At 41.2% G+C, this 27755-nt stretch overlaps 1 protein-coding gene across 7 annotated transcripts, besides 5 other annotated features; it reads right to left on the minus strand.

Moving 5' to 3' along the window:
- Positions 1–401: 401 nt before the first annotated feature.
- KBTBD2 (kelch repeat and BTB domain containing 2) lies at positions 402–24396 on the minus strand. Of its 7 annotated transcripts, none has more exons than XM_047420125.1 (5): positions 24319–24389; positions 20207–20325; positions 11665–12172; positions 7222–7387; positions 402–3110 (listed from the first exon to the last, which is right to left on the minus strand). In XM_047420125.1, exons 3-5 carry the CDS (start codon positions 11832–11834, stop codon positions 1575–1577), a joined length of 1872 nt encoding a protein of 623 aa, XP_047276081.1. In that variant the 5' UTR covers positions 11835–12172; positions 20207–20325; positions 24319–24389; the 3' UTR covers positions 402–1574. The 7 variants fall into 7 exon arrangements, with proteins under 7 accessions (XP_047276081.1, XP_047276080.1, XP_047276083.1 ...); XM_047420124.1 differs by lacking the exon at positions 24319–24389 and adding an exon at positions 23766–23990; XM_047420127.1 differs by lacking the exon at positions 24319–24389 and adding an exon at positions 23207–23397.
- Positions 20990–21515: an enhancer, noted in NCBI's record as "H3K4me1 hESC enhancer chr7:32928372-32928897 (GRCh37/hg19 assembly coordinates)". NCBI's record gives its function as "activates a minimal SCP1, AML or CMV promoter by ChIP-STARR-seq in naive H9 embryonic stem cells {active_cell/tissue: H9 hESC(naive)}" and the evidence as "EXISTENCE:reporter gene assay evidence [ECO:0000049][PMID:30033119]".
- Positions 23350–24299: a silencer, noted in NCBI's record as "silent region_18081". NCBI's record gives its function as "represses an Ori minimal core promoter by ATAC-STARR-seq in GM12878 lymphoblastoid cells {active_cell/tissue: GM12878}" and the evidence as "EXISTENCE:reporter gene assay evidence [ECO:0000049][PMID:35858748]".
- Positions 23350–24774: a biological region, named in NCBI's record as "NANOG-H3K27ac-H3K4me1 hESC enhancer GRCh37_chr7:32931453-32932156".
- Positions 24071–24774: an enhancer, noted in NCBI's record as "NANOG-H3K27ac-H3K4me1 hESC enhancer chr7:32931453-32932156 (GRCh37/hg19 assembly coordinates)". NCBI's record gives its function as "activates a minimal SCP1, AML or CMV promoter by ChIP-STARR-seq in naive H9 embryonic stem cells {active_cell/tissue: H9 hESC(naive)}" and the evidence as "EXISTENCE:reporter gene assay evidence [ECO:0000049][PMID:30033119]".
- Positions 24480–24539: an enhancer, noted in NCBI's record as "active region_25831". NCBI's record gives its function as "activates an Ori minimal core promoter by ATAC-STARR-seq in GM12878 lymphoblastoid cells {active_cell/tissue: GM12878}" and the evidence as "EXISTENCE:reporter gene assay evidence [ECO:0000049][PMID:35858748]".

Consider the following 27755-nt stretch of genomic DNA (forward strand, 5'->3'; position numbering starts at 1 on the left):
TAAGGCTTATGGAAAAACAATGCAAGGTAGGGCTGTAAAGGTAATTTAAAGCCAAATTAGAGAGAGCCTTAAATGTGGTAAGGAATCTGGACTTCATTCAGTAGGCAGTGGAGGGGCAGTTCAAGTCTATAAACATGATCAATGATGTGCTCTAAAAAGAAACCATTTTGTTTGGGGTGAGGTTCAGGCATCATCTCAAGCTTCTAAAGATGATGATCAGAATCAGATGATTCTAACATGCCAGCAGGGTAGAAAGACACTAGCCTAAGGAAAGCCTATGCATATCTCTCAATCTTCATCAAACAAAATTTGGAAGAAACCACCTATTACTAGCTAAGTTTGACCTAGCAAAATCAAAATTTAAAAAGCAGACCATTCCCATAACAAAAGAAAAATAGATATTGAATATATACAATTTATTTAATAAATTAATGTCATTCAAAATACAGTGCCAGAACATGGTGCAGTTGAACATGCTAGTAATGTTTGTCATGAAGCACCTGTGCTCATGTTAGATTGGCGGCGCCCCACTACTGCTAGTGGTTCCTGGGATTAATGCCAGAGCAGCGCTAGTTATCTGCTCTTCTGCACAGCTAGTGCAGAGAATTCCTGAACAGTTCACCTTACTAATCCTAACCCCCACACGCACACAACAGGTTAAAAAAAACACACCCTGACAGCTAACAGATCTATACACAATCACTCTACAGTAATGCTTGTTATTAAATTAAGATGTAATGACCTGGTTAACCCACTCTAAATCTTGAAGATGGAGAACTACATCAGCAGCAGATAGTTATATGCATGAGCCAATGTTAACATAATACAGAAAGTGGAGGCTTTTTCTGATTAAAGCTCCACGCAGACCCGCACAATGAGTGGCTGGCAATTCTTACTGCAAGCCTAGCAACTTAAGTCCACACCTGGTAAATGACCAGCTGACTGGAAGACCTGTATTCTAGATAGACAAGTATAAGTTAGTGAAAAGAGAATACATGCACCTAATAGTATAGTTAGACTGATCCTGCAGTCATAGCTTTCCCTGTGTAATACCATAAAATTATGGAAGATCTTCCTCAACTAGAGTATAGGATTTAGACATTTCTATACCAACACGGACATTAGTGTTAAGTGCAGTTGAATTAATTACACTGAAAACTGTATTCCAGGACTTCAGAACAGAAGCACGGGAATGAAACACACATACTAAAATAACCTCAGCACAATTTGTGATACATCACACTAGGAACAGGAAACTACTTTTATAAATGAACTTTTTGAACTGTACATACACAGGGCTAACAATGTTAGATAATCCAGATTCTTATACTCTCATGATTACACATAAAGTTTCTCAATTATTGAATAATCTATTTCATATTATGGAAGCATATCTTTCTGTAAGACTCACTGATATATATTATACTGATGCAAATATTAAGTAGGGCATAAAAATAAAATTTATCAAAGATAGAATTTTATGTACTCATATTTAGTTCTTTCATAGCCTCTTTTGTTTAGCAAAGAAAATGACAAAGCACATAACTCAGGCGTGCACTCCCTGAACTTCCCCACTATACAGGTGGTAGTGCAACCATTTCTCCATCCAGTTCAAACTCTTCTGTCCCATCCGTTGAAAAAAGATAAGTTGGTGGTTTCCATGGAGACTCTTCAAGGCAGGATGGATAGAGTTTCCCCACAGTGCATCGAAAATCTCTCCCCAAGTCCCACAGTACACGTTCAGATATATGCTGCCGCAGAGACCACCGGTCAAGTTCCAGGTCATATTGGTAGGTGACGTATTTAGCTCGCTCATTTAAGTGGGTTTCTCGCATAAACACACATAGAGAATTTGAGATCACAACAGCTCTAACACAGGGGTCAGAGTACCTCTTAGCAGGGATGTTGGCTGCCATTTTCCACTCATTTTTATTCACATCATAAATTTCCACAGTTACTGAAGACCCATCTACAGTGCCAGAGGGGAGTCTTATGCCGGAATTGGTAGCAATATGCAACCCTCCAATATAGAAAATTTTATCACCAAAAGCTGCAGCTGAAGCAAAGGACCTACTAGTCTGTCTCATGGCCATTTCTACCCATGAGTCAGACCTTGGAAAATAACAGTACATGAGGTTCAGTGTCATCACATAAATGCAGTCATGAACCACAACTGCTGCACTCCATTGCCAAGCACAAGGTAAAGGGCTTACCATCGTCCACTCATCTTTCTCAGTGTCGTATCTTTCTACGGTCCTCCGATTAAGTTCTCCACCTACGCTATCTCCTCCAATTGCATAGATATAGCCTTCACAGCAAACCAAAGATGGCTTTATGCGGACAAAAAGCATTGGGGTCTTTGGAAACCAGGTATTTTGCTGTGCATCAAACCAATAAAAGCAATTCACAGTTCTGAAGGCAGTCTGAAGTTTGCTTGTTTTACTGTGATTTGTTTTTGTGTTTTTCAGAGGAACTTGACCCCCTGCTATGTAGATATCATTATCAGGAGTTACAACGGTCCCAACCTTATGCAAATCAGCTGGTGGGCTACATAACTTGTAAACTTTTTCTGCTTGGGGGCTGTAACAGACAGAAGAGTAAAGACTACAAGGATTTTCTGAAGATGCTTCAATGAAAATCATCATTTCCTCTTTAGTCATCCCAAGTCTTGGTTTGAAAAACTTGGGCATGGACTTATACAGACCTTGAACCACCACTGACTTATCATTGGGTGGCAGACCTTGAAACCAAGCTCTCTGTGTTACTTCTGAAAGTGCATCAATTCTGATTTGGCTAAGAACAGAAGACAAATACTGGGATCGTGATTCTGTGTTATACTCTAGCCACAGCATAGCAGCTTCTCGAACGGTTTCTTCCTTTTCTACATTTAAATTGTCACTACTGAGAATATCTATCAGTAGGTCATGTGACAGCTGCATGAACGCGTCCTGATGATACACAGCAGTGAACTTGTGCTCCACCATTCTTTTAGCACTCTGTTTTAATTCCTCACAACTGAAGAGATCAGCAAAACTCAACAATCGTACACAATTCTCTGCATTTATTTTTTTAATTAAATATTCTCGACAACGTTGTAACACATCTTCTACCTAGAATGAGAAGGAAAAAAAAAACAGGCTGATAGGGCCAGGACAGACACATTTTACTTTTATGTAAGACGTAAGTATATTAATCAGATGCCCATAGTGTAATTTTTATTTTCAGATACACACATCTGGGCTGAGATAAGGTCTTCTGGTAGTAATAAACTCAGAAGACTATAAAATTTTGCAGTATTTTTTCCTGCTCAGTGGCCTACTTAACTGTTCTATTTAGGAACCAGCAGTACAACAATAAATAGGCTCTTAAAAAACAAAACAGCCTTAAAGAATAGGTAAGGAAATTCACACATAAGTCATACTTTCCTAGACTTTATATATAATTGAGAGAACTATATGAAAAAATGTAAATAAATCATAGTATAGAGAAAATTATTGTTGTTGAATAACTGGATTCTGGTTTCCTCAATTTGAACACAGTCACATAAAACCAGAAAATCATGCACAATGAGTAAGAGTAGTTATTTGCCATTCTTATCGAGAGGTAAGATAACAAAGCAACACGAAATAGACTTACGTGCAGTTATAAATCACCTACATTTAAATGACCCATCTTAGCCACTGTAAGCTTCCTAGATTTGTTTTTTCTTAAGAAGGTAGATCTCAGTTGAATCAGATGTGCTACCCACTATACTTATTCAGCATCACAGTGATTAACTAGAAACTGTTTACACTGACAAGTCAGGTTGCTTGGATTTAAAACTTAATTGGCCAATTAGTACCTGGAAACTACTTATTAGGAAAGAAGCTTCACATCTCTAAACTTCAATTTTCTCTTATATAAAATGGGGAAATAATAGTTATCTCCCTCAAATGAGCCCTGTAAGGATCAGATGAGAATATATATAAAGTATCAGTACACCATCTGGTACTGAAACATATGATCACTTCATGTGGTTGATAGTGAAAGTAATATTGGTAGTCATAGAATGCCCCATCTCAGGCTTCCAGGGCAACACAGTCTAAGAGGCAGAGTCCTGTTTTGCATTTGAGCAAGCAGAAGTAGTATACGGTTTTCGTTAAAATGGCAGAAAAAAAATGTTAAGGAGCAGTGTCAATATTTACAGTAACAAAGTATTCTGGAATCAGATTTTCTTAAAATTCCTTAATGCCTTAGTAATTCTGAGAAATGCCTGCTTTTAAAAGAAGGACCAACAAAAAATTAGCTGGATGTGCTGGTGCATGCCTATAATCCCAGCACTTTGGGATTACAGGGAGGAGGATTACTTGAGCCCAGCAATTTGAGACTGCAGTGAGCTATCACCATGCCACTGCATGGTGGCATGCCACTGCATTCCAGCCTGGGCAACAGAACAAGACATGTCTCTAAAAATAAAAAGTAATGACAACTTGCAAACTATATAAAGACAGTGCTTCCAATAAGCATTTCTCCCGTTCAAGTTTGGAATTACTAGTGCACCAGCAAGCTACCCCAGCCTCAGTTTCCCCAGAGTTGTGGGTAGAGTAGAACACTAACGATAAAGTTAGTGTAATAAGGAGTAAAGGTTGGCCAGGTGTTGTAACTCGCACCTGTAATCCTAGCACTTTGGGAGGCCTAGGTGAGAGGAGTGCCTGAGCTCAAGAGTTTGAGACTAGCCTGGGCAACATAAGATCTTGTCTCTACAAAAAAATCAAATAATTAGCCAAGTGTGGTGATGCATGTCTACAGACCCAGCTACTCAGGAGGCTAAGGCTGGGGGATGACTTGAGCCCAGATCGAGGCTGCAGTGAGCTGTGATCTCACCACTGTGCTGCAGCCTGGACAACAGAGCAAGACCCTGTCACACAAAAAGTTGAGTATCCCTAATTCAAAAATTCAAAATCCAAAATGCTCCAAAAACTGAAATGTTTTGAGTGCTGACATGACACTTGAAATACTCACGGGAGCACTTCAGAGTCTAGATTTTTAGATTAGGGATGATGTAAATCTAACATATAATGCAAATATCCTAAAATCTGAAAAAATCTGAAACTGGCTGAACTGGATTTCTGGTCCCAATCATTTTGGATAAAGGGTACTCAACCTATGGAAGATTAAAAAGGAAGGAGACTACATAAAGCATGAACTGAGTTCTGGTTTCCAGAATTATACCCAGGTGTTGGCATTCAACCAGTGTCATGCATACTCATTCAGTGCATATTTATTAAGTACTTAACAAATATCACGAACAGTGCTCTCCAAATTTAACCTTTGATCTAAAGGTTCTCCCTCTGAAGAAACTTAGTGAAATACAGTGTTATTCCAAAACAGGAGATGAAATGAAGAAAAAAACTCTTATATTCCTCTTAAAATTTAAAAAGGGAACATGATGGGGAAATAAAGAGTAAAACAGTTTGTCATACATAAATATATCAACCATCACTTGTTTTGTTTAAATACTTCTCCTTAATTGCTCAATATGGTCACATAGCCATTATAAATATTTATCATAATTTCCACCAAGTTTTCTGTGAAAAATAGTACCATGAAAAATTAGTATATCTAAGCTCTAAGCAAAAAAAAAAAAAAAAAAAATTGAAACACTTAAATTCAATAAACACTGTTAAAAATTACTTTAATTTGGCTGGGAGTGGTGGCTCATGCCTGTAATCCCAGCACTTTGGGAGGCCAAGGCGGGTGGATCATTTGATGGCAGGAGTTCCAGACCGGCCTGGCCAATGTGGTGAAACCCCACCTCAACTAAAAATACAAAAATTAGCTGGGCATGGTGGTACATGCCTGTAATCCCAGCTATTCAGGAGGCTGAGGCAGGAGAATCACTTGAACCCAGGAGGCAGAGGTTGTTGTGAGCCAAGATTGTGCCAGTGCACTCCAGCCTGGGCAACAAGAGTGAAATTCCGTCTCAAAAAAAAATTACTTTAACTTGAAATCAAAATTCTCAGGTATATTAGGTAGTAAAACACACGAAACCAGTATAAAATTTTCACCTATCTCTTTTATTAACAGATTTACATTCCCATCACAAAACTACTTAGTTTACTGGGTAATCAAATCCTATTGTTTTTCCCTTACACATTTTGTAAAAAGAAAAAAACCTTTTACCTTCTAAAACACGTAATAAGAAAATTACATAGATAAAAGACATTACTGGGCCAGGCATGGTGGTTCATACCTGTAATCCCAGGGCTTTGAGAAGCCAATGCAGGAGGATTGCTTGAGCCTGGGATTTTGAGACCAGCCTGGGCAACACAGTGAGATCGTGTCTCTACAAAAAATAAAAATATTGGCCCAGGGAGTGGTGGCTCATGCCTGTAATCCCAGCACTTTGGGAGGCCAAGGTGGGTGGATCACGAGGTCAGGAGATCGAGACCATTCTGGCTAACAACGGTGAAACCCCATCTCTACTAAAAATACAAAAAATTAGCCGGGGGTGGTGGTAGGCACCTGTAGTCCCAGCTACTCGGGAGGCTGAGGCAGGAGAATGGCATGAACCCAGAGGCGGAGCTTGCATCTGAGCTGAGATCGCGCCACTAGACTCCAGCCTGGGTGACAGAATGATACTCCGTCTCAAAAAAATAAATAAATAAAAATAAATAAATAAATAAATAAATAAAAATAGTAGCTGGGCATGGTGGTGCACACCTTTAGTCATCCCAGCTACTCAGGAGGCTGAAGCAGGAGGATCACCTGAGCCCATGAGTTCAAGGCTTCAGTGAACCATGACTGCACCAATGCACTCCAGCCTGGGTGACCGAACGAGACCCCATCTCAAAAACATAAATAAAAAATGTTTAACAATGTTTCCTCACAAAATAAACCACATAATAAACCAATAAGCTACAACTCATGTATGTAACTGAGTAAAAAAATGCTTACCTGTAGGCTGGACACAGTGGCTCACGCGTGTAATCCCAGCACTTTGGGAGGCCAAGGCAGGTGGATCACGAGGTCAGGAGATCAAGACCAGCCTGACCAACATGGTGAAACCCCGTACTAAAAATACAAAAATTAGCACCTGTAATCCCAGCTACTCAGGAGGCTGAGGCAGGAGAATCACTTGAACCTGGGAGGCGGAGGTTGCAGTGAGCGGAGATCGTGCCACTGCACTCCAGCCTGGGCAACAGAGAGAGACTCCGTCTAAAAAAATATATATATGCTTACCTGTAGGAAGCAAGCTGTTTCATAAAGCTGTTCTACAGTGCTGTCATTCATTGCCAAGTTACCCGTGTATGCATAAGTTATTATTATCTGTAAGGTGGCAGCATCGACATTCCTCAGGTGTACATGGGTTTGTTTGCTTTCACTTAGTCCACTCATAAACATGGCCCTACAGGGGAGATGAAGAAAACAAAGTTGTAAGGGTTTTGTGTAAAACAAATGTAGAGCTGAAAAGAACAATTAGACAATAAGAGGTGTTTATTTAGGGTATTTACTTATAAGAGAAACTTTTTCTTTTTTTGAGACAGGGTCTTGCTCTGTCCCCCAGGCTGGAGTGCAGTGGTACCATCATGGCTCACCACAGCCTTGACCTTCTGTGCTCAAACGATTCTCCTCAGTCTCCCAAGTAGCTGGGACTACAGGCATGCACCACCACACCCAGCTATTTTTTCTTTTATTTTTAGTAGAGACAAGGCCTCCCTATGTTGCCCAGGCTGGTCTCCAACTCCTGAGCTCAAGCAATCTTTCCTGCCTCAGCCTCTGAAAGTGCTCGGATTACAGGCATGAGCCACTGTGCCTAGCCAATGAAATTTTTGAGGGAGACAGATAAGAATAAAATCCAGTCCCAAATATATACCAGACTATTCCACCATGCCATTTTGAGTGAAAATCTCAAAATTCTATTCACTTCTTATATTCATACCATGAAATAATACTCAGCAATAAAAAGGAACTAAGTATTAATATATACTTTAACATAAATGAACCTGAAAACATTATGCTCAGTGAAAGAAGCCACACACAAAAAACCACATAGTATATGAGTCCGTTTATATAAAACGTCTAAAAAAGGAAAATATAGAGACAGAAGGTAGATTAGTAGTTCCTTAGAACTGTAAGAATGGGGTCTGTGACTATAAATAGACACAAAGTGATAAAAGTGCTCTAAATTTAGATTGTGGAAATGGTTGTGTAACTGTAAATATACTAAAATTCATTTAATTATATACTTAAAATGGGTAGATTTTGTGGTATGTAAATTACATCTCAATAAAGCTGTTAAAAATTCATTTACTCAAACAATTCTCTAAAAATATGCAGGACACTTTCCTAAAAATCTATTATATACAGGAAATCATGATGGAAAGGCAACTGGCATCATGGAGAATACTAAGTAGAATGCCCATATATAGGTAAGAGAGGAAAATAGGAGAGAAAAGCTTCTGCATGTAGCGGTCAACAGTGAGTGTCACAACAGTCACTAACTTGGGCACTAACTTGGGCCCCTCAAGGACAGAGATGAAGAAGCCATTCAAAATGGATAAAACAGGGTAGAACATAAGAAGCAATTGTTCAAGGGGCATAGCTTGAACATAAGGGCTCATGCAGGAAACCAGAAAATGAATTGGAAAGATGGAGAGCAGTCAGATCACAGAGGGCCTTTAAATGAGACAAGAGAGTCTGAGCTTTTCCTTGTAGATAGTGGGGAAAACCAAAGGGTTTCAAGTCTGAATTTAGCATGACAAAATGTAAGTGATAAATGTAGGATGAATACTCTAAGCTGACAGACTATAAGAGCTAAAGGCTAGAGACAGGAAAACTGGCTATCAGGCTATGACAATAATATACCTAAGAGGTAAGAAACTAAGTTATATTGGCAGAAATGAATACAAAAACCACTATAGCTGGGCGCTTGGTGGCTCACACTTGTAATCCCAGCATTTTGGGAGGCCGAGGTGGGCAGATCATCTTAGGCCAGGAGCTCGACACTAGCCTGGCCAACATGGTGAAACCCTGTCTCCACTAAAAAATACAAAAATTTGCTGGGCGTGGTGGCAGGTGCCTGTAATCCCAACTACTCAGGAGGCTGAGGCAGGAAAATCACTTGAACCCGGGAGGCAGAGGTTGCAGTGAGCCAAGATCGAGCCACTGCACTCCAACCCGGGCAACAAAAGTGAAACTCCACCTCAAAAAGGAACAAACAAACAGACAAACAAAACCCACTATAAAGAGCCAATAGGATCTGGTGCTTTTCTTTTTCTTTTTTTGAGACAGAGTCTCACCCTGTTGCCCAGGCTGGAGTGCAGTGGTGGTATCTCAGTTCACTGCAACACCCAACTCCCAGGTTCAAGCGATTCTCCTACTTCAGCATCCCGAGTAGCTGGGATTACAGGCGCCCGCCACTACGCCGGCTGATTTTTTGTATTTTTAGTAGAGATGGGGTTTCACCGTGTTAGCCAGGATGGTTTCAATCTCCTGACCTCGTGATCCGCCCGCCTCTGCCTCCCAAAGTGCTGGGATTACAGGCATGTGCCAGCACTCCCGACCAGAAACAGCAAATACTTAATTTCATAATATTGTAACAGGCTGAAGTACCACAACAGAAGTGCTGAGTAATTCTCAAGCAATTCTCTCATTTTGGGTCTAAAATGAACTATAAATGTTACCAAGAAATATTAAAACTATTATTCAGAGGTACCTACTAATTATTGGTGGGATAGACAGAACTGGTAACTCAAACTACAAAGGAAGAATGTATTTAGTTCAGAAGGCAAAATCTCTACAGTAGATGTATAGGAGCATTAGATGTAAAGATCTCGAAATCTACAATTCTGCCAGCAGAATCTAGTTGAAGAACACTTGTGAAAAGCTCAAATTATATCCTGTGGATATGAAACTGTCCCAGGCACAAGATTTTAATGATGGATGGCTTCAACCCCAAACACATATTGAACTATTTTTATTTATTTAATAAATATCTGATTTGTTTTAGGTATAATACACAGTTGTCCCTTGGTATCTGTGGGGGACTGATTGGTTAACAAACTTCCCAGACTTGGCTGGGTACAGTGGCTCACACCTGTAATTCCAGCACTTTGGGAGGCCGAGGCGGGTGGATCACTTGAGATCAGGAGTTTGAGACCAGCGTGGGCAACATGGTGAAACCCCGTCTCTACTAAAAATACAAAAAAAATTAGCCGGGCATGGTGGTGTGTGCCTGTAATCCCAGCTACTTGTGAGGCTGAGGCACAAGAACCACTTGAACCTGGGAGGCAGAGGTTGCAGTGAGTCGAGATAGCACCACTGCACTCCAGCCTGGGTGACAGATTGCGACTGTCTTTAAAAAAAAAAAAAAAAAATTGTAGGCATAGCAAAGGCAACAACTGGTGTTTGAGCCTTAGCTTCTGCAATCATCATGGGATGTGTTAGGGAATGTGAAGTTTCGGTATCTTCATACAAAGTCAGTCAGCCCTGAAAGGTCAAATGAAATCTATCCTGTCTATAGCTGCCATTAAAGAACAGCAGAACAGGCGGTGCGCAGTGGCTCACGCCTGTAATCCCAGCACTTCGGGAGGCCAAGGCAGACGGATCACAAGGTCAAGAGTTTGAGACCAGCCTGACCAACATGGTGAAACCCCATCTCTACTAAAATTACAAAAATTAGCCCAGGCGTGGTGGTGCGTGCCTGTAATCCCAGCTACTTGGGAGGCTGAGGCAGCAGAATCACTTGAACCCAAGAGGCAGAGGTTGCAGTGAGCCGAGATCGCGCCACTGCACTGCACTCCAGCCTGGACAACAGAGTGAGATCGTCTCAAAAAAAAAAAACAAAAACAAAACAAAACAGCAACATCAAACTCACTAATGATTGCTGCTTATGTCTGTTAATATTTGTAGTAGAAATATACAGGTCCACATTTAATTCACCTTTATTCTCCCTGTCCCTTTCAAATATTAAGTCAAAATTACCTAAAAGCAAAGAACAAATAAAGCAATCCATCTATGCCTTGGCTTCTATTCTGCTCAGGAAACGTACAACAAAGACGCAAAAGATCATAAAAATGTAAAGTTAAGCTTTATGTATTTGTTATTAGCAAAGAGTAACTAAATTAACTTCTGCATTCAGAGGCATAGAGAACACCAACGTTACTAGTTATTAAATATTTAAATCTGGCAAAGAGTCTAGTTAGTATAAAGAAATATCACAAATGGTAATAGTAAAGAGTGAGAAAAAATATATTTTGTAAAGAAAAGTCTTAACCTATCTAACAGCACCAATTTTTACCCTCTAAAAATTACTATTTGAGCCTATAACTTGTCAGTTTAAAAACAGAGATCACTGTTTTCTAAAGGCAGCATTTTAAAATCTCAAAGTGTAAATTATCCCATTTTTCTTTCTCTTTTAATGGAAAAAGAATATTCTAAACCTTTCTGCCTTCCCAACATTAAAACTTTACCTTAGTTAATTGCAACACATTTCTTGTATTTCAACCTTTATAAAACTTCTTTCATGTGTCTCTTACACATGCAAGAATGAGATTTGCCAAGTACTACATCATCTGAATAGAAACCTTAAGCAAAACTTAAAAACAAAAATTGAGATGTGGCTTTTTAAAAAATTAAATAACATTTCAAAGAATTTCTATTTAAAACATTAAAAGTACTTACCTGAAATAAGAGCTACATGTTGCAAGAACCATCTTATGACAAGGGAATTCAGTGCCCTCAACAATTAACACTATGTCAGTAAACAACTGCTGTTCATAAAACAGTTTCAACTGTTCCAACAATGACACAGCATATTCAGTATTGATCTGCCTCTCGTCTTGAGTGGACATGACTGTATTCCATTAATATCTCCAGGAACAGATTAGAAAAGTCCGTCTTACTGATGGAAGGTCAAGTGAATACTTCAGAAATAAAGGAGAACCTACTTGCTGTTATCTGCAGCATTCAGTACCAAGACTGACACATTCACTAATGAGTAATATCTTGTTACACAGACTTAGAATCACTCCTAGGTCATCCTGTGTTAATTAGGTTCTTCAGAGTTTTTCAACACAGTCTGCAGACATTGTGCTCAAATCTGCAATTGTGCAGCTCATGAGTGAAAGAGAAAAATACACGAGGTAGATTTTGTGGCAACATCCTATGTTCAGCGGATCCTGTGGAGTAACTAAAAAGAAAAAAAGTTCAGTTGTAGTATCTAGGCCAGTACGGTTTTAGAATATAACGTTTAAAATGGCAGCCTTAAATAGAAATCATATTTATTTCAAGTTCAACTTTAGACATTACCATAAAAGTGAAACATGACAAAAATGAAGATTCTTAGTCTACATTTAAAATTAAAAAACAAGAAAATTACCAGTTGTAATTTCAAGTTAACTTTTGCCTTCTATACAAAATATAACTGTCACAGAAAATAACGAACACATGAATAAGTACACATTTTTAAAGCTCTTTCAAAATAGACAACTTAAATTACCAAAGCCAGATCTCTTAGTTATTTGTCTGGTAGCAACAAATGATCATAATATTTAAGAAAAAATATTTTTTTAAAAAAACAAAAAACCTGCTCTCCTACACAGAGATTTCTCGTTCTCCGAATATATTTTAAACACGTTCACAAAGTCTTCATATTTAATTTAAACTATACGGTAAATAGATTCAAACTGTTAATTTTCAAATTTGCCATTCAATTCACTAGGAGAACTATATGTAATTTGTTTCTTTGTGGAGTGGTTCTTTCCTAGGAATCTTTACAAATAAAAGTATATTTTACTTAAAAAAAAAAAACATAAAATGTAATGGGTATATGTTCCTACCCAGAAAACTCCATATTACACAAATATGAATGTTCTCCGAATTAATATGTAACTTTAATACAAATCCAATCTAAATCCTATTTTCAAGGGATTTATCTGGAAGAATGCACAAAGGTTGCTAAGATATTTGAGGGGAAGAAGGGCAAGTTTTTAATGATTTTTATGAAAATATTAAATGTACTATAAAACTGCCATAAAACCAAGTACACATAAGAAACCAGAGATGACTGGCCGGGCACAGTGGCTCATGCCTGTAATCCCAGCACTTTGGTAGGCCGAGGCAGGCGGATCACAACGTCAGGAGTTCGAGACCATCCTGACCAACATGGTGAAATCCTGTCTCTATTAAAAATACAAAAGTTAGCTGGCCGTGGTAGTGTGTGCCTGTAATCCCAGCTACTCAGGAGGCTGAGGCAGGGGAATTGCTTGAACCCGGGAGGTGGAGATTGCAGTGAGCCAAGATCGCACCACTGCACTCCAGCCTGGGTGACAGAGCAAGACACCGTCTCAAAAAAAAAAAAAAAGAAATTAGATATGATAAAGATAAATATGGTATCTCAAGTTAGGAAGAATGGTTTATTTCAACAAATAATGTTGGAAGTGGCTAACTGCTCAAGGGGGCAAAAAAACCTAGGCTTTAGTCATACTGCATACCATTCATCAAAAAAAAAAACCAAAATTCCAGCTGAATAAAAATTTAATTTGGAACTCAGTATTCACAACACATGGCAAAGGAATTACAAATCAGGAAAAGAGGAAAATCCCAAATAGAATGCTACTAATATGTTAACTATAAAAACTGCCACCTCTTTTTTCACCAACTGTTAAGATGACCATTAGTTACCATAATGAGAAATGACTCCATCATTAGAATCACTGTTATTTTTCCTCACAAAATACCATCCATTATGTCAAAGAGAATGACATACACTTCCTGACAAACTATACTATTACAGTAACTGCTAACTTGATATACAGTCAAGTTTCCAGCCAAGTTAACTTTGAAAGTAACTAAAACAGGTGCAAAGGCAGAGTGAGACTCTGGGTCATTTAAGGTAATAACTTTGCTCTTCCAGAACAGCATGTCACACTATAAATCTGAGTTCTACTACTATAATCTCTAAGGCAAATAATACTTAAAATCACTGGCTATTTCCACACATTAATAATGCAGCAAGGCATAGTGTTGTTGAGGGTGTGGAAAAACAAGCATTCTTACACAGAGGAGTAAGTTGATACATACCCACAATCCCTTATTCAAAACTCTTGACACAAGACACGCTCCAGAATTTACACTTTTCCAGATTTTATAGAGGTATTGTGACACATGTACCCTACATTATGAAATCCTCTCAAGAAGTCTCAGGTAGCAATGGATAATCAAACATATTATCTTTGCTGAGGCAACTATGAATGGTGTCAAAAATAAAGACTATATATAGCCTCACGTTACTTCAGGTCAGGTTTTACTAGCAAAGATTTTTTTTTTTTAACAACTTGATTTTTCAGAGCTTTTTGAATTTCAAAATTGCAAGTATTAATAATACTTGGCACTGGAAATGCTTAATACCAATCTACTAATCCTACTTCTAGAAATATATTTTACAGAAATATATGCATTAATAAAGTAGAAGTCCTAATCCCAGTAGCTGGACTCAAAATTGTCCCCATCCATGTTTAAACAAGGTGACAGCAACTGGTGGCCAGGGCCAAGACAGACTTAAATCATGCCGCTAGACCCCAGAATTTCTTGCAGGCTAGCGGTACAGGCTCACTCTGGTCATTTCATTAACCATATAATAATATGATTTTCTGCAATGATTTTGGGGAGGCCTCATTTACGACTGGGTTTTGCCAGATTTGATTTTTTATCGTATCCATGAAACCGTATTAAAACAATTGAAGTCTGCTTCTAAAAAAGTACAAAGTCATACTCATTAACACAGCTTTATTAGATTCCCCTATTTCCCACTCTTCTTTTGTAATCCAGGATACATTTTCTTCCTGGAGAGGCAGCCTACGTAAAAGTTACCTTAAAATAGGCAGAAAAAGTAAGTCATTCAGATATGACACTAAGTAAATAAACAAGTACAATTAAAAATAAAATTAAAGTCAGGAGTGGTGGCTCATGCCTGGAATCCCAGCACTTTGGGAGGCTGAGGTCGGTGGATCACTTGAGGTCAGGAGTTCAAGACCAGCCTGGCCAACATGGCGAAACCCCATCTCTACTAAAAACACAAAAAAATTAGCTGGACATGGTAGCACGTGCTGTAATCCCAGCTACCCAGGAAGCTGAGGCCAGGGAATCACCTGAACCTGGCAGACGGAGGTTGCAGTGAGCCGAGATCGTGCCACTGCACTCCAGCCCAAGTCACAGAGCAAGACTCCGTCTCAAAAACAAAACAAAACAAAAACAAAAAATAATAAATAAAATTAAGTATCTCACCCCTCTGGGAGCATGGACTTCAAAAGGTATTAACTAAAAATGTGAAAGCTTGGCCAGGTGTGGTAACTCACGCCTGTAATCCCAGCACTTTGGGAGGCCTAGGAGGGCAGATCACTTGAGGCCTGAGGCCTGGAGTTCAAGACCAGCCTGACCAACATGGCAAAACCCTGTCTCTACTAAAAATACAAAAATTAGTCGGGTATGGTGGCTCATGCCTGTAATACTAGCTACTCTGGAGGCTGAGGCTGCTTCAAGCTGAAACTCACTTGAACCCAGGAGGAGGAGGTTGCAGTGAACTGAGATCACACCACTGCATTCCAGCCTGGGCAACACAGCAAGACTCTGTCTCACGAAAATAAAAATAAAAATGTGAAAATTTGCAAAGTTTAGGACGATCAACCAACCATCTTCAAATGCCCACAACACAAACATTTTCTGTAAAAGGCTCCTTCCCTCCTAAAACTTGAAACCAGTACTCTAAATCCTCTGAAGCAATTCAGTATGTACTATATTAATTACCAACTGATGTGACGTATTTTACAAATTTTCCCTTTTCAATAATTACATTTTGTATATCATTCTATATCTAAAATCAGCTTCAAAACGTCACAGACCCTGTTATCTGTAGAAGCCAGCTTCCCCAGATTAATTCTCAGGTATCAAGGAAACTGTTGACTTAATTTTCTTTTCTGAATGAATGGCTAAATTCCACAAATGTTTATTGAATACTAAGTGCCAATCATTGCACTTTACATACTCGGATTCAGAGAAGCCAAACACTAAAGCTCCAAAACACCAAGGGCTTTTACTCTTACTACAGATTACAGCCACAGCTACAGCTGTCATTCAAAAACATGGTGTTTTAAAAACCAGCTATTCTAGACAAACTTAAAAGCCAAGAAGCAAGCAAATGAGTGAAGCAAGCTGGGTATATGAAACATTTTTCTTGAAATGTAGCTATCTTAATCTTTTTCTTTCAAACTTTTAATAGAGACATGAGTTCAAGAAATTTTACTCTTTACCGTAAGAAAAATTGTAGTACAGGTAAAATGAGCAAAGGTATCTGGTGCTCAGCCCTACTACTAACAGTGGATCACACAGGAGGAAGGAAAAACTTATTGAAGACCTATTTAAACCTTCTGGATTTTCTTAATATATGCAATGATTACCTGATTTTTACAAAATAAACTTTTGGCCAGCTGTGCTGGCTCATGCCTGTACTCCCAGCACTTTGGGAGGCCAAGGCGAGAGGGTACCTTGAGGCCAAGAGTTCAAGGCTGCAGTGAGCTATGATCATGCCACTGCACTCCAGCCTGGGCAACAGCAAGATTCTGCCTCTAAAATTTTTAATTTAAAAAAAAAAAAAAAAAGGCTGGGCACAGTGGCTCATACCTGTAATCCCAGCACTTTGGGAGGCTGAGGTGGACAGATCACCTGAGTTCAGGAGATTGAGACCATCCTGGCCAACATGGTGAAACCCCGTCTCTACTAAAAATACAAAAATTAGCCTGGTGTGATGGTGCGTGCCTGTAATCCCTGCTACTCGGGAGGCTGAGGCAGGAGAATGGCTTGAACCCAGGAGGAGGAGGTTGCAGTGAGCCGAGATCGCACCACTGCACTCCAGCCTGGGCAACAAGAGAGAGACTCAGTCTCAAAAAAATAAAAATAAAAATAGTAATAATAATAAAACTTCAAAAGGTACACTATTCTCTCTTCTCATAACAAAGACAAAATATTTTAGGCTTTGGGAGCCATAAGGTCTCTATCCCAAAGATTTAACTCTTGCTGCAGCCTGAAAGCAGCCAAAGACAATATGGAAACAAATGTTATTTCAATAAAACTTTGTTTACAAGAACAGGTTACAGGCCACATTTACCAAACGCTGCTTTATTTTTAAAAATTTATATTTCTTTTATATATATATGTGTGTATGTGTGTGTATATATATATATACACATATATGTGTATATATATATATATACACACACATACACACACACAAATTTTAATTTTTTTTTTTAAGAGACAGGATTGTACTATGTTGCCCAGGCTGGTCTTGAACTCCTACGTTCAAGCGATCCACTTGCCTTGGCCTCCCAGAGTACTGGGATTACAGGTGTGAACCGCCGCACCTGGCCTTACACTGCTTCTTGATGAAATATTTAGTCAGTGACTAAAATACGTACCTCAAGTTGTTTCTGCAAGAATAATGTTTCTCTTCAGATCACAAAACAAGGAAAAGCACAAACTTTAAATTCCTGAACGCGGAATTAAATATAATTCTTAATCTAATTTATATATATTCCACTTTTCTTCTCAACCAAAATATTCTAACATCTTTTACCTAGTCACACAACTGCTTTCCCCAATTCCTGCTAGTTCCGTGGACTTCCGAAACATGTTCTTATCTAGTGTGAGTACCTTTAATTAAGGTTAAAAAAAAAAAAAAAGACATCTCTCCCCAAGATAACCTGCCAAAAAAAAAATCCATACTGAGAAAAAGCTATTCAAAAACACTTAAATTACTTTGGGAAATCCCTGTTATAAGCCACAATTCCTGGTATCAGGTGCTTCCAGATTAGTAAGAAAGTCCTATATTCTAACACTGATCATTAGAATATATTCCATAGTAAAAAATGCTAACCAGCATAAGAATTAAATTGGAGTCATGCAAACACAATATAATGAAATTCACAATCTTAATAAAGTGCAATGTACTTTGACATAAAAAGTGTACATATTCTTACTCCTTCTTTTAAGTCCTGCGCTCAATTCAGTGTTTTTGACTGATTTGCTTGATCGCAGAGAATGGCAAAGATAAGGTTAAAATGTTATACACAGGATGAAATCCTCTCCTCCACTGTCTACACACTTTTTTTTTTTTTTTTAAAGACAGAGTCTCGCTCTGTCGCCCAGGCTGGAGTGCAATGGTGTGATCTAGGCTCACTGCCACCTCCACCACCCGGGTTCAAGCAATTCTCCTGCCTCAGCCTCCTAAATAGCTGGGATTACAGGCACGCACCACCATGTCCGGCTAATTTTTCACATTTTTAGTAGAGATGGGGTTTCACCACGTTGGCCAAGTTGGTCTCAAACTCTTGACCTCAGGTGATCTGCCTGCCTCGGCCTCCCAAAGTGCTAGGATTACAGGCATGAGCCACCACGTCCGGCCTCTACCCACTGACTTTCTACGAATTATTACAGGACAAAGTCCTATTTATTTTTAAATCCGAAGACTACCTACAGAAGTCAAAAATTTATAAACTGATTGAAAACAAATGCTTCTAATACATTTTCTCTAGGATGCCCAAGTCTCCGAGGTTCTGAGTGAATTCCAACACATAAAAGTTTTGAAACATTGTTACTAAATGATTGTCAGGATTAAATCAGTTAGCAATCGACAGTAACATATACAATTCTACTTAAAAATCTGAAACTCTTCCCACAAAATATTATTTCTAGAGATGACTTAAAGTATTGGGAGGATATGCACAGGTTATCGAAAATACTACGGCATTTTATCAGAGACCTGAGTGTCCTTGGATTTTCATATCCCAAGGGGACCTAGGAACTAATCTCCCACTGAAACCAAGAGACAACTGTGTTTCTATGCAACAAATTTAAGTTGGTTGTCTGAATTCCTCACTTAACTTTCCTATAAAATAACAGTATTAAAAAGGTGTTTAACTTCTCACTATAAGCAGCAAAACATGCCTGAAAGTCTATCAGCAAAGAAAATTTACAAAGTAAATACTACTTTAATACTCATAAAGAGATAAGTGACCATGAAATTGTTTTACAGATTCTGATTATTAACATTAAAGGATAAGGAACCAAGATTAAAAGTATGAAATGTTGAAATTTTTAAAAAATCCCAAATACTTTTAAAGATGTCAGAGGTTGATGGCAGTGTTTTGGCTTTTTGGGGGGAGGCAATGAGGGGGGATAGATGTCTAATTTCACTTTGAAATCAAGTTTTCATTCCTAGAGGTGTGTACTTTGTAGCATCCTCCCACTGAGTAGCCTGGAAACACAAATAGAAGCAAAGCAAGCTTTTCCAATGTTAACCAGGCAGAATATAGAGACTGAGGAACGAATAAAGGATTAAAGAACTATTGAATGTGATAAAGAAACCAATCAGCAATTAACTGAGCTGTGGATGAAAAAGGAAGAAAGGATAAAAAGATGGGAAGGAGGCTGCTAGCAAGGCCTGCTACAATAAGCACAGTAGTAGGTACAAAGTTTCCATTGGACAGGAGGAATAAGTGTTACTGATCTGTTACACAGCATGTTGATGATCGCAGTTAACAATAATATACTGTGTATTTCAAAACTGCTAAAGATTCTAAATGTTCTCACCACAAAAAAAATAAGTACATGAGGTGACAGATGTAAATAGCCTGATTTAATCATTCCTCAATGTGTACATAGATTGAAACATCACATTGTAGCCCACAAATACATACAATTATTTGCCAACTAAAAATAAAATAAATTATATAGTAGGAATGAAGGAATGATAGGTCTCCCTCCAGGAGGGGCAGTGCGGCTATAAATCATTCACCTGTAGGAAGCACATTCAAATTGTACATTACTAACTTAGGGAGTGCTGCATCTCCCAATGCTACAAATGTCAATAGAGAAGATTAAAAATTTTTGTTGGAAAAGATCCAAGGCGTTCTCCATGGAGGTCAACCGTTGAAAAATAATTGAGTACAAACCCAAACTACTTGGGTTAAAGCCCCAGTTCTGCAACTTAATAGCTGTGTGGCCCTTTTTAAGTTATTTATTCTCTATGCCTCAGTTTGCTCATCTATAAAATGTAGTTAAAAGTACAACTCTCTTCTCAATGAATTGTTCTAGGATTACATTTCATACTTGGTTCAGTACCTGACACACAGCACTACACAGATATTCGAAATTATTTTTATTAACCCACCCACTGGTGAAGCTTTTGCAGCACTTTCCCAACTCCTGGATTCCACACCTTCACCAGGTCCGAAGATTCCAATTTCAAGGTCTCAGCACTCCAAATACAGTTCTCTTTTTTCATTCTGTCTAAATGGTATTTTACATAAGAGAAATCCAATGTTTTCAGAGAATATTGGGACTTTTTTGCAAACATTTGACACTTGAAATCTGAATTCAGTGTTCTAAAATATTAAGATAATTTTTCCTTTTTTTTTCCTTTTCTCACATATTTTGATGGTACAAATAATGAAACAAACTAGTGCTTAAAAGACGACCAATCTTGAGGAGGCTGATGTCAGTGTAAAAAACTAAATGAGAGTCCAGAAAGGCACCAGTCATAAAACAAGCCTTTCTTTATTTCAATGAGATAGTTTTCTCCTTAGGAAGGACAAGAGATGGGTGCTAGAAACAGTTTGCTTTCAAGTTATCAAAACAACCACGACAGTTGAGAATGTCTGGAAAAGACCATTTGTTTTTTAGATTGTCAACTGCTACACAAACAGAATTTTCTGGAGTTGTGACAGGCATCAATTAAAAAACAAACCAAAAAAAAACAAAAAAACCAAAAAAACAAACACCTGGCCTTTTGAAGAATCTATCAAGTTTTAAAAATTTCAGCATACTTGCAGTGAGCCGAGATCGCATCACTGCACTCCAGCCTGGGCGACACAGCGAGACTCCGTCCCAAAAAAAAAAAAAAAAAAATTTCAGCATAGCTTCCTCTGCTCTAGTCACATTCAGAGCTTAGGTCTGTTCTCTCTTTCCAACCATACTGATAGATGACATGGCTCCATCAGGTTAATTACGCTCAGCACCCTAAGTAAATTCAGGTCACAAGTACAAGCTGTACTATATTATGATTAACAAGTTATCTCAGTTTTAAAAAATTAAACAAGAACATAAAGGCAATGCCACCTGCGATACAATAATCATATGAGTATACTATGTCCTTTTATTTTGGGTATCACTTTTCCTTTTTCCTCTCACCTCTGCGCAGTGACTTAAGAAAGCTGGGGAAAAGTGGCCAGGCGCAATGGCTCACACCAGTAAATCCCAGCACTTTGGGAGGCCGAGGCGGGCAGATCACCAGGTCAGGAGATCGAGACCATCCTGGCTAACACGGTGAAACCCCATCTCTACTAAAAATACAAAAATTAGCCCAGCGTGGGCTACTCAGGAAGCTGAGGCAGGAGAATGGCGTGAACCCGGGAGGCGGAGCTTGCAGTGAGCCAAGATCGCGCCACCGCACTCCAGCCTGGGCGACACAGCGAGACTCCGTCTCTTAAAAAAAAAAAAAAAATTACTTGAGATCGGCCGTCTGCGGTAGCTCACGCCTGTAATCCCAGCACTTTGGAAGGCCGAGGTGAGGGGATCACGAGGTCAGGAGCTCGAGACCAGCCTGACCAACATGGTGAACCCTCATCTCTACTAAAAATACAAAAATTAGCCAGGCCTGGTGGGGCGCGCCTGTAATCCCAGCTACTCAGGAGGCTGAAGCAGGAGAATCACTTGAACCCTGAAGGCGGAGGTTGCAGTGAGCCGAGATCGTGACACTGCACACCAGCCTGAGTGACAAGAGACTCTGTCTCAAAAAAAAATTACTTGAGATCAACCTGTCATTTCTAATACTGAGTTATTTAAGTATCAGTTGGTCTATTCAAACTCTACAAAACTGAAAAGATTAAGCTAACAAAGGACTTTGAAATTTTCACTCATATTTTATGACACCAGGATCAATCCTTTTTCCTGGCCTTACTTGTCTTAGGAATGTGGGCAAAGAGAAGAGGGGAAGGGGGACTCTTTTCTAAATGTGTAACATTTTTGGAAAAACCAATGTTATCATTTGGCTTTTAAGACTGCATTCAAGTTTCTAGGAATTCACCTTGCACATTCAATGTTCAATGTTTAGGAATGAAAAGCTCAACATTTCTACCAACCAGAAGAAAATCTATGGAGGAGCATGGACATATGTACTGATACCTCTATTCCTTCCCATCTCCTTACATGCCCTGTGAATAACATAAGTTAACATTTTATAATGCTTCTTATGAGAGCAAAAAGGGGAGTAGAGTTACAGCACTCATAAAGTCTTCCTACAAAACTGTGCAAAGAAAACACCACTATGTGGAAACGTGTGGACTACAGAGCATGCTCAACAGAAAGGCCACAGCACTCCCGAGTTACTGACAGAAAACAACCTCTTGAGGATTCCAGGCCCCAACCTAAAAGGGCTTCAATAAGCACTAAGCCAACAGAAGATCAAAGTGAAGAAGTAAGCTTAACATTAGTTATCAGCCAGATGGAAAGAATAGCAAAATTCCACATCATCGAGATTAGAAAACAACCGACTGGCTTTTCAATTTACTTTAGATCAGAAAAAAAAGTCGGGGAAAAAAGTCCTTATCAAAGGTTAACCAAACTAAGTCATTCACAATTACAAGAGATCTAAGACCCATACTACTCAAATTCGGCAAAAATGTACAACTCAGAGGGAAGAGGGGGAAGATCCCTGTTAATTAGTTGCCTCGATAAAAGAAAATATCATTTTGGTCAGTGCACAGCGTTGATAGGGTTTCGTTTCTCAATGCCTAAATGCTGTGAGCCCGACGTACAGATTCAAGTATAAACAACACGTGACCAGTCCTGTTGCCTACGTCTTCATAAGGCTAATTGACACAGAAGATAGTTCACACACACACCCTTTTAAAGTTCATTTTGTATTTTGAATTCTTTTCCTATTTTCACTGGAAGGGGTCACCGTGGTAGCCCGTGGGATGGACGCTCCTCTACCTTTTGAGGCAGGTAGAGTTCTTAGATAGCTAAGCCCAAGGGAAAAAAAGATGTTAACTCAAAATAACCGCCCCACACCAAACTAAGCGATTTTTCTATTCCCCGGTTGTTCAATCCGTAGGGAGAAGGAGGTGGTCGAATTCAAGGAAGTTAAAGATTTCACAAAGTAAACACGTACACAATTTTCCGTTTCAAAGGGCAGTTTCTGCTTTCTTTTTTAAGTCGATATAGACCATAACAGGAGCTCTGTTCGTCTAGACCTCTCTTGGTTAGTTCAGATGTACGCGGGGGGAATACAGAAGGAAGGGGGTGTCCTCCTTCGGCCCACCATGTCGCGAACACGTCGCGAGTCTTTAAGGGAAACAGCTTTACTTCGGTAAGGGCGGGCGCGAGCCGAGGCCAAGGCGCCGCCCGGGAGCCCCGCGGGCGCCGAGGCGCCCGGTGCCGGGGCCGGAAACGCCCAGCTAGCGGCGTACCGGGCCGCCCCTTCCCCGCGGACCTGCCCGGAGCTCCGCCGCCCTGGGGCCGCCGCGGGGTGCGGAGGGCGGCGCCGGCCGCCCGCGCCCCTCCCCCGCCCGCGGCGGAAGCGTCTCGGGTTTGAAAGATGCCGCGGCCGCCGCCTCCCACCCGCCGAGCCACAAAGGGCCGAGCCCCCTCCCGCCACAGCCCTCCTCCCCGGCCCCTCCACAGGTCGCCGCGGGCTCCCAGCCTGCCCGGCGCTACTGTCGCCTGCTCACCCGCGTCCCTCGGTCCGGAGGTGTGGGATCCGCTCCAGCCGGTGGCCCCGTCCACACTGGGCCCCTCCGGCGCGGCGGCGGGGGCGTGGCCCTCCCGCCGCGGCCTCGCCTGGGGTCTCGCCTCCGCCTCCGGCCGAGGAAGGCTGGCGCCGCCGCCTCTTCCTTCCGGTTTCCCCTCGCACCCTCCCTCGCTTGGTCCGTCCAGCGCGGAAAGCAGCGTCCTCTGCGGGCGCCGCCGCACGCTCCTCAGGGCCCGACCACCGCCAGACTCCTCCCCCGGGAGCCGCGCCGCCCGCCCGCCCGCGCCGCCTTGTCAGTCCGGGGCCGCGAGACGCCGGGCCCGCCGCCCCCGCCGCCCCCGCCCCCGCCCCCGCCGCGCGCTCTCGCCCCCGCCCGCGGCCCGGGAACGCGCGCGCAATGGACCGCTGGCCAGCCTGCCGCGCCCGCCCTCGCCACGCCGCCCTCCCGCCTCGCGCGCGCGCGCGCCTGTCGGCACCAGCGGCAGTTTTGCAGTTTCCCGGGTCCTCGCGACCGTCCCCCGCCCCTCCCTTACTCTAGCTGCCCCCGCCCTTTTCCTCTGCCGGATGCCACCGGAAAGCCAAAACAATTGGGGCCGCGCAGGCGCGAAAGAGGAAACGGAAAGAGCAGGAAGGGCGGGGGCGGCGCGAGGTGACGGGAAGCGTAATTGAAGGGGGTTCCCGGGAAAGGTCATGGGAGAGCCCTTGAGGGGCGCGTGCGCGGCAGAGGGGCACTCCGAGTAGCCGCGGCGGCCGAGGCCTTGGGCCTAGACGGGCGGATGGAGAGGCCCGACAAGTTCATTGCTAGGAAATCTAGAGAGCAAAACACCAATTGTTATGCTGAAGGAGGTGTTTTATCCCTTGGAATTTCCCCTGAAATACAGATTTTTGCAGGCTGGCTCGGAAAGTGGGAATGAGTAGGACTAAACAATACCAGACCGGGGGCAGGAGAAAGTTGAGGAGGCGTTGGGCGGGTCGCTTTGTTGCCGCAGCACCTCTTCTCCAAACCATGCCCTCCTCTCTCCAGAGCCGCTTCGGCTTTTCCCAAGGCCAAGGAAGAAGTCAGAGCAGCACCCAAAAGGGCCCGCAGTTGGGGGAGGTTAGGGGAAAAGGGAGAGAGAGACATCTGGGTGCGGACGGCAGCTCCAGCGTCTGAAGCCTTCCGTTGTGTGCTGCAATGCGGCGGCTGCACGCCCCCAACCCCCCGAGTTCCAAAAGAGCGCCTTCAGCGTTGCTTCGCAAAGCGAAGCGTTTGTAGCAGCAGCTAATGGCTGTGGCCCGTACTGTTTTAGTTAACTTGGCACAGCTTGCTGGCAGGCAGGCTGTAAATTTGCTAGGAGCTATTCGTGGATCAAAAAATTGTCAGAAATGCCCACACAGACTCCACCTACCTTCCTAACTTACAGTCTTGGCACAAGCCCAATCTAGAGAATATAGATGACTAATTATAATCTGAAAGGCCATACAGTACATTACTGAAGGGAGCCTCTTCCTGTAAACTAGGCTAGATCAACTGAATGCACACCAAGATGCGTGTTATCAGGAACTACTGATAAAGGATTGTTTTACTGTAGAATCTGGAAACTACATTCAACAAATCTTCATTGAGTTTCCAGCATGCTACCACTGTACTTAGTCTAATTAAGTAGTTAAGTGGTATGATATCAAACAAGCTATACAAAAGATTAAAGTCATTTAACACACACTTGAGCACCTACTTTGTGCCAGATTGGGTATGAGAGATGCGGTCTAAACATGCAGACAACAACAACAAATGATACCTGCGGCAAGGAGTTCGTGATTCATCCTGTGGGCAACAAAAAGCCACTTAAGATTTTTAAGCAGGAGAATATCTTGATAAGATTTTAGAGAAAAAATTCTAAAGCATGATAGATAGCAGACTGGAAGCAGGGATACTAGTTAGGACGCTGTTAATGCAGTCCAGACATGAGTTGGAGAGAAAGTCCAAACTAACAGTGTCAGTGAGAATGGAGAAGCAGAGATACATTTGAAAACTAGCCAGCTATGATAAATAAGACTTGATTACCTAGAGGATGAGGGGAAATAAGAAATCAAGGATAACTGAGTTTTTTAGTTAGGGTGATTAGATGGTGTTATCAGTGACTATAAGAGGAGTAATGAATTGTGAGGATGAAAGAGAGGACTAAAGTTGTCCTTTTAATGGCTGTACAGTTAGGAATGCATTTGGGCCCACATTTTTTTCGAAAAGATTCCATTATAATAGCTTAAACAAGACCTCAAATCTACAGGTAGGCAGTTACCTTTGTTGGTTCAATAGCTCAAGAACAGCAGGGCCATCATTTCTGTGATTCTCTCGACATTGACTTCATGGTTGCAATATGGCTGCAGCAGTTTTAGCCTTCGCACCTTTGTTCAAGGCAAGAAGAGGGGAAAGGGGGTGGCTTCCACCATCCATGGTCTTTTTTTTCTTCAGGAAAGTGAAAGCTTTCTCAGGATACTACATCTCCCAAACTCAGCAGACTTCCACAAACATCTCATTGTCTAGAATTGTAATTTGGCCACCTATAAAGATTACAAAAGAGAAAAACACTGGGAATGGATATTGGGTCAGACAAGTCAGACAAATAGCAGTCGGCTAGTTAGTTAATATTTAAAGCATCCTTCTTTAACACTTAAAACCCTGAGAGCTGTTAGGATGGATTGATGTTCCTAGGTTTCAAAAAAGGCCAATCGCTTTGGTGTGTTATCTTAACTGGGAAAAGAACAGGTTGAACATTTATACTCAAATAGTTGTAGTTGTTTGCCATCCCTTATCTCAAGGTTCCCATCCCCTTAAACAAAGTCTCACAGGGGACTGGAACAATGAGGAAGAAGGGACTGGTGCAGTCAGGGGAGGGTGACTCCCGTTCAGCTTTCCTTTTGCAGCTGCCATCTTAGAATAACTGTAGGTTCTTGGCATCGTTAATTTGATGTTCCGCCTAAAACACCATCTTAATTCCCTTAGAGATCTTGTCTCTGAGCTTAGAAGGCTCTGAGTGATCACAGCAAGTTCCAGTGTCCATTTTAGGGAGTCATACATCAGTATCTTCTAGCAGTTACACAAACTCTTTTGGAATGTACAGCATCTCTCTTGTGATCTGTATCCAAAACATTATTTCATGCAACCCTTTTCCATTAACAAGGCATCTTTCCTTTTAATTATTAATAAGTCATCTTTCCTTTCAACTGATGGCCACAAAAAGTATCATCCTAAAACTGTACTTTAAACATTGTTATGATTCTAGAACAGAAAGAAGATAGTAATGATTCCTAGAAAAATAAACATGCAGCCGGGCACAGGTGGTTCACGCCTGTAATCCCAGCACTTTGGGAGGCCGAGGCGGGGGGATCACCTGATGTCAGGAGTTTGAGACCAGCCTGGCCAACATGGTGAAACCCCATCTCTACTAAAAATACAAAAATTAGCTGGCCGTGGTGGTCGGCACTTGTAATCCCAGCTACTCGGGAGGCTGAGGCAGTAGAATGACCACCACGCCTAGCTAATTTTTGTATTTTTTGTGTAGAGGGGTCTCGCCATGTTGCCCAGTCTGCATTTTCTTTTTCTGAGACAGGGTCTCACTCTGTCGCCCAGGCTGGAGTGCAGTGGTGTGATCGCAGCTCACTGCAGCCTCGAACTCCCAGGCTCAAGTGATCCTCCCACCTCCGCCCCCCAATTGGCTGGGACTACAGGCATGTGCCACCACACCCAGGTAATTTTTAAAAATTTTTTGTAGAGATAGGATCTTGCTACATTGCCCATGCTGGTCTCGAACCCCTGGCCTCAAGCAACCCTCTGGCCTCAGCCTCCCATAATGCTGGAATTACAGATGTGAGCCTCTATGCCCCACCCAGAGTCTATGATCTTAACCACTCTGCTTTACTGACTTCTGTCCTCCTACCAAATTGCTTCCCAGCATCACTTCAAATCTTAGGAACTGCCATATTATCTCAG

The sequence above is a fragment of the Homo sapiens genome, chromosome 7 (genome assembly GCF_000001405.40).
Source record: "Homo sapiens chromosome 7, GRCh38.p14 Primary Assembly".
NCBI lineage: Eukaryota > Metazoa > Chordata > Mammalia > Primates > Hominidae > Homo > Homo sapiens.

What these genes read in the sequence shown, in the direction of transcription:
- KBTBD2 (XM_011515256.3), bottom strand. Translation starts at nt 11,834, where the DNA reads ATGTCCACTCAAGACGAGAGGCAGATCAATACTGAATATGCTGTGTCA. An exon ending in ACATGTAGCTCTTATTTCAG is followed by an intron (nt 7,388 to 11,664) that starts GTAAGTACTTTT and finishes TCTCCCCTGTAG; the next exon opens with GGCCATGTTTATGAGTGGAC. An exon ending in AAACAGCTTGCTTCCTACAG is followed by an intron (nt 3,111 to 7,221) that starts GTAAGCATATAT and finishes TTCTCATTCTAG; the next exon opens with GTAGAAGATGTGTTACAACG.